At 36.5% G+C, this 6,812-nt stretch overlaps 1 pseudogene; it reads left to right on the forward strand.

Moving 5' to 3' along the window:
* On the forward strand, nt 5,253–5,949 carry FCF1P3 (FCF1 pseudogene 3; annotated as a pseudogene).

Consider the following 6,812-nt stretch of genomic DNA (forward strand, 5'->3'; position numbering starts at 1 on the left):
TTTAAGACTTACAGAAGGACGCTACTGAAATGAAGATGCAAAATCTGAGCCTAAACTTTTTCTAATTATTGTCATTAAAACATCAATGGCTTTGCTTTCATGGCCCTAATCTTATGGAACTCGATCAATATTAAGTTCAGCAAGTGTTTCATTTCTAGTTTACATGTAGTTACAATAACAGTCAGCAATTCAAAATGATGTTTGTCAACTCTAAAAACAGTGTGAGATTTTGTGTGTTTATTTACTTTTATTATAGTAAAGGTTCATGATAAAGACATTAAACAGTTAAAAATATCAGTGTTAAAATATCCAAACATTAACTTACCAGTAATATGTTTGAATTAAAACTAAAGTTTATCTTCTCTTGAGAGTTAAAGTATTAATTCGAGCATATGCTTGATAGATATTAAAAACTATCATGGCTCTCTTTCTCCTTTCCTCTCTTGTTAAGAAAACATGAGCTACTTCACCTAAAAGGTATTTCTATTTTGCAAAAAAAAAAAAATTTACAATCCTTCACATCCAATTTGTATTTCATAAAATAATTTCTTCTTTCTTCTTTCATCAAACAATTAATGAATACCTATTACATAAATGCTATGCCTGTCCTCATGGTGTTTACAGTCTAGTGCTAATCATGGGCATAAAAAGGGGCAACAGGTAATTTGAGACGAAGAGGAGTGTTAAAGGAGACATTAGGAAAGTACATTTGACCTGAATTCACAGCCAGAAAAGGCTTCCTGGAAGAGTTGGCAATCTGAAAAGAGAATAGCAGTTAGCCAGATGAGAAGGTGAGAAAAATAGCTTCTAGACAAAAAGAGTAGCATGAACAGTATACGGGAGAGTCAGGAGGAGAAAAGGGAGAATGAGAGAATGAGAGAGTGAATAGAGCATCTAAGGAAGTGAAAGAATACAATGAGGAATGAAGCTAGAGTGGAAACCAGTGGCCTCAATACACAAGAGTACTGTGGTTTGAATGTCCCCTCCAGAACTTATGTAGAAATTTAATTGCCATTGTGACAGTATTAAAAAGTAGGATTTTTAAAGAAGTGATTAAGCATAAGGAACATGCCTTCATGAACAAATTATGCTATTATCTGGAGAGTAGTCTCTCTGTAAAAGGGTAAGTTTGACCCCCATTTTCTGTCTCGCATGCATTTTTTCTTGCCAAGTGATACCTTCTACCACGTTATGACACAGCAAGAAGACCTTTACCAGATGCAGTCCCTCAATCTTCAATTCGCCAGCTTCTAGAACTATGAGCTCAATCTCTTTTTATTTAAGAAATTGTCTAGTCTGTGTTAATTCTCTTATAACAGCAGAAAACAGGCTAAGACATGGAGCTTTCATACTATGTTGTAAAAAATGGTTTTGTTTTTATCCTAGCATCAATTAAGGGTCACTGGATGATTTTAGATAGGAATGTGGCATGATTAGATTTGTGGTTTACAAAGAGGGCATAGCTGCTTGTTTCACTGCCAGTCCAGCTTCAATACAGAGAATGAATTTGAAGGGAGTCATCCTGGATTTAAGACCATTTAGAAGTCTGTTGCCAAAATACAGAGAAAAGACAAAGCTGGACTAGATTGAGGAGTGTTGGTGCATATGGAGAAAGATTTATAAAGAAATTCAATTTAATGTGCTTTTCAGGTCCCTAATGATTTGGGGAAGGGAAGGAGATGGAGGAAGTAAAGATGACTTTGACTTAGGCAAAGGGTGCGTGGAAATGACATTAAAAGAATGGGTAAAAGAGTGCACCTTTGAAGGCGCAAACATGCTTTCAGTCTGAGACATGTTATATGTGAGACGTCTATGGATTACTTGTGTAAAAATTCAATAGCAGAGTCAGGAATATAATAGAGATTTTTATAATCCACTGAGGGAATTATCTTGATTGCACAGGATAAGAAATACAATGGTAATTTTTAGGATTTACTTTGGGATTGATCCCAATTACTAAGAATAAAACCCGAGAAGCCCCAATAATTAAGGAAAGAGCATAGAGTAAAACCTGAAAGGGAATTTGTAAAGAAATAGCCAGACACTTAAGAAATATAAAATTTAACAATATAGTATTATAGAATCCAAGGAAAGCAGATGCCATATTTGATAGGTAAAGTAATGGCTCTGAAATGAGATTCACATTCTAAACCCCAGGAACTGTGAATATGATACATTATATGACAAAAGGGACTTTGCAGAGATGATTAGGTGAAGGACCCTAAAATGGGAGATTTAACTAGATTATTACCTGGGCAATCCCAATGTCATCACAAGTGACCTTATAAGAGAGAAGCAGGAGAGTTAGAGTCAGAGAAAGGGATCTGGTAATGAAAACAGAGCGGGTGGTGTATAAAAGAGACTGGGAGAGAAAAAGAGATGAACCAAAAAACTCAGATGGCTTCTAGAAGCTGAAAAAAGGCCAGGAAATGGATTCTCCCCTAGAGAGACGAAATGCGGCTTTGCCAATTCATTTCAGACCTCTGACCTCCAGGATGTAAGATATATTTGTGTTGTTTTAGGCCACACATTTTGTGGTAATTTGTAACAGTAATAGGAAACTAATACCCTATATGAATTGACTTAAGCAATAGAGAATTTACTGATTACTTTTAAAAGAGAAGGAATCTTTTCAAAAAAAAATTTGTGAAATTGCAGTGTTTTTGAGTAATTAAAAAGAATAAGTCATCCTTTTGAATCTTCATTGGTTACATCGCTGCCCTGGGTGTTTCGCGTTGCTAGCTTCTTCAGCTCCAAGTCTGGGATATATGAGGCAAAAAGAAAACCCAAGGAACTCTCCAGTATGTTATTTCTTGGTCTTAAGATTCTTAGCTGGTCTACTTTCCTCTTTCTACCTTTCAAAGCCTTCTTCTGTTTTTTATACATAATGTTCAGGGGTTTTAGCTGTACTTGGCAGGAAGAATAGGGAGGAAAGCTCCAAAATTGGGTTCTTAATTTTATCTTTTTAAATTTTTGTTTATCTGTGCTTTCCAATATTTTTCTATTGGACATGAATTACTTGTGTTTTAAATAAATGTGTTTTTACATCATAATGCCTACATTGGTACTTTACATGGTACATAGTAATTAATATGCAAATTGAAATTTATTTTGCATAGAATACAAAATCTGAAACCAAGAAAAATAAACAAATATGATAAATGTTCCCAATCCTATTTTATCTGTGATCTGTGACTCATCAATGACATCACCTCTCAAATGGAATTTTCTTTTTTTTTGAGACGGAATCCCGCTGTGTCGCCCAGGCTGGAGTGCAGTGGCAGGATCTTGGCTCACTGCAAGCTCCGCCTCCCGGGTTCACGCCCTTCTCCTGCCTCAGCCTCTGGAGTAGCTGGGACTACAGGCGCCCGCCACCACGCCCAGCTAATTTTTTTTTTTTTTTTTTTTTTTTTGTATTTTTAGTAGAGACAGGGTTTCACCTAGTTAGCCAGGATGGTCTCAATTTCCTGACCTCGTGATCTGCCCGCCTCGGCCTCCCAAAGCGTTGAGATTACAGGCGTGAGCCGCCTCGCCCAGCCTCAAATGGAATTTTCTAAAATGCATCCTATACAAGGTGATTTTCAAAATACTTAACAACTGGTATGGCACAGGCAGAAACTAATAAAGTGATTGTCTGGCAGTCAGAAAGGATGCTGGCTAGTACAATATAGTGAGGCATATCAGTCCTACAATAGAGAAGCTGATAAAATTCCTAAGAAAGAAAAGAGTTCCATGGATGATGACCTTTGGGAAATAATGCTTATCATTTCCTTCTCTTCAGAATTCTTTTCAGAAAAAAAAAGTATTCTTAGCTTTATTTAATCTAGATTTTTATTTTATCATGAAGTTGTTTTCTCATCACACCCACTCCCCACACACATATTCACAACCTAGAGAATACAATTTGAAATGTTCTCTCAAGTGCTTTTATGCTGTTATTCTGCCAACCCATTTCTTGTCCGTATTCTTTTCTTCCAGTTGATAATTATTGCCGCTCAAATAGAATTTATTCTGTAAAATTACTTATTCTATATCCTAGTGTGTTTAAGAAAAATGACACATCAAAAATTAAGTCATATGAGACATTAACACTTCCCTGGATCTATGGATACATTTATTTACTGGTGCATATTAGCAATAAGTAAATGCAGCATGGGCCGGGCACAGTGGCTCATGCCTGTAACCCCAGCAATTTGGGAGGCCAAGACGGTCAGGTCACCTGAGGTCAGAAGTTTGAGACAAGCCTGGCCAACATGGTGAAACCCCATTGCTACTAAAAATACAAAAATTAGCCAGGCATGGTGGTGCATGGCTGTAGACTCAGCTACATGGGAGGCTGAGGCGGGAAGATTGCCTGAGCTTGGGAGGCAGAGGTTGCAGTAAGCCGAAATTGTGCCAGTGCATTCCCGCCTGGGCTCTGTCTCAAAAAATAAAATAAGTAAATTTGGCATATTAGAAAAAGGTGAAAGTAATGAGTTCAGAGCTAAAATCACAGATTTTCTGCAATATCATCCCTTCTCTCTTGGTAAGAGCTCCTTGTGGAGAATTCTGCAGCTGTATCTTGGCTCAGATAGATACTACAAAGTTTAGTAAAAATCTGCCATCATCACAAGAAGAATAAGTGAAGACCTGTGTACCAAGTACTTTATGCCTCTTGTATGGAGTAAGGTTGAATAAGAATTATATGGTGTTGATCTAATTCTTCTTTCATATTTGAAGTGATATTTTGTTTTTAGAGAGAAAATAAAATCTAGAAGCTTTCTCGGTCCCTCTGCTATTGGAGCTGTGATAGGAACCAACTACTGTCAGACAATCATATTGTCATTATGTCTATATCATATTGCAACACTTAGATAACCTATGAAAGGAAGTTAACCGATGTGTAATGAGATATTTCCAGAGGTAATTATATCAAAGAAGAACAGATCTCTTTATGGAAAGGGATCCAGCAGATAATGCAAAACTATTAGCCAATAAAGATAAGGAAAGAGAGAGGAAAAACCACAGTGTGTCATTGAAAAGGATGTAAAATTAAACTTCAAAATACATGAAGATAACTAACATTACAAATAGGCAAACCAGCCAACCAAACCAAACCAAAACTAGATATTACAAAATGTGAACAGGTAGATATAAAAATACACCAATCAATATTTTTGGAAATTGAGAATATGATCATTGAAATTAAAATTAATAAGCCATATATAGTACTGTTGAATAAAGGAATAATTCAATTTAAAGATAATAATAGGAGAAACGAGAGTGTGGCATGAACATGGGGAAGCAAAATAAAACAGGAAGTATGCGACCATGAAGTGAATGCTTAGTCTCAGAGATCAGAGGCTTAAAGAATAGGATAGACTAAAACGTGAAAAGAAAGAAAAATAGTATCCCAGCATGCTAAAGAAAAGAAAAGTTCCTCAACACCCTTCCTGGTTATTTTTCCAATATAATACACAGCTGGGCCCACCTTACCACATCCTGTTTGACACCAACTTTATCAAATTTTCCATTAAAACCAAACTGGACTTAGTGTAGTCAATGATGGACTGTCTGTATGCCAAGTGTATCCCTTGTATAACTGATTGTGTAATGGCTGAAATTGGGAAATTAGGGCAGAAGTATGGAGCAGCTGTAAGGATTGTTAAGGATCCAATATTAGAATGATTACCGGGGACACACAAAGAAACCTATGCAGATGACAGCTTAGTACAGAGAGTAACTCACAAGTGTTACGTTGTGTCCTTGGTTGACCAGGACCTTAAAAAAAGAATCCAAAAGAATCCTGGAGTTCCTAACACGTACATTTCTAACCATAGATAAAACTCTGAACAGATGTCAGGTGACTATGGAGCCCCTAGGTTCTGCCTCTTATAAGACAAAGTTCCTCTGCCTTTCTTCAACCAACTTTCTATTGTTTCCAGTTCATTAAACATTCAGTAGCATGATATATTCTTCCATTTACCCATTTGCTCTGTTATAAGCTGAGTATGGTTAAATATGCTCACTTTCTGATGCTGTTTTGAAATTGATGTTTTGTCTCATTTAAAAATTTTAGGCCAGGCACAATGGCTCACACCTGTAATCCCAGCACTTTGGGAGGCCAAGGCAGGTGGATCACCTGAGGTCAGGAGTTCAAGACCAGCCTGTCCAATATGATGAAACCCCATCTCTACTAAAAATACAAAAATTAGCCGGGTGTGGTGGCATGCGCCTGTAATCCCAGCTACTTGGCAGGCTGAGGCAGGAGAATCACTGGAACCTGGGAGGTGGAGGTTGCAGTGAGCAGAGATCATGCCATTGCACTCCAGCCTGGGCAACAAGAGCGAAACTCTGTCTCAAAAAAAAAAAAAAAAACAATTTAAATAATGATCGAAGTGTATAGAATCCTAGGAAGAATATGCCTTATACTTTTTTCTAAGTTCTGTTGCACAGTGTGGTGAATATGATTAATAATAAAGTATCACACATTTCAAAATTGCTACAAGAGTAAATTTGGAATGTTCTTAACGTCAAAATGTTAAGTATTTAAAGTGATGGGTATGTTAACTAACTTGATTTAATTAATTATTCGACATTTTATCCATAGATTATGATATAACTTTGTAACCCATAAATTTACACAATTATAAATTGTCAGTTTACAATAAAAAGTGGCATATTTTTAGAATTTTAAAAATAGAGTATTCACTACAAACAGAAGGCAGAGGTTAAAATATTTAGAAAGAAAAGAAGGAAAGGAAGAAAGGAAAAAAAGAAGAAGGAAAGGAGGGGAGAAAGAGAGGGATGAAGGAAGAAAGAGAAGAAAGAAG

The sequence above is a fragment of the Homo sapiens genome, chromosome 3, assembly GCF_000001405.40.
Source record: "Homo sapiens chromosome 3, GRCh38.p14 Primary Assembly".
NCBI classification, from domain to species: domain Eukaryota; kingdom Metazoa; phylum Chordata; class Mammalia; order Primates; family Hominidae; genus Homo; species Homo sapiens.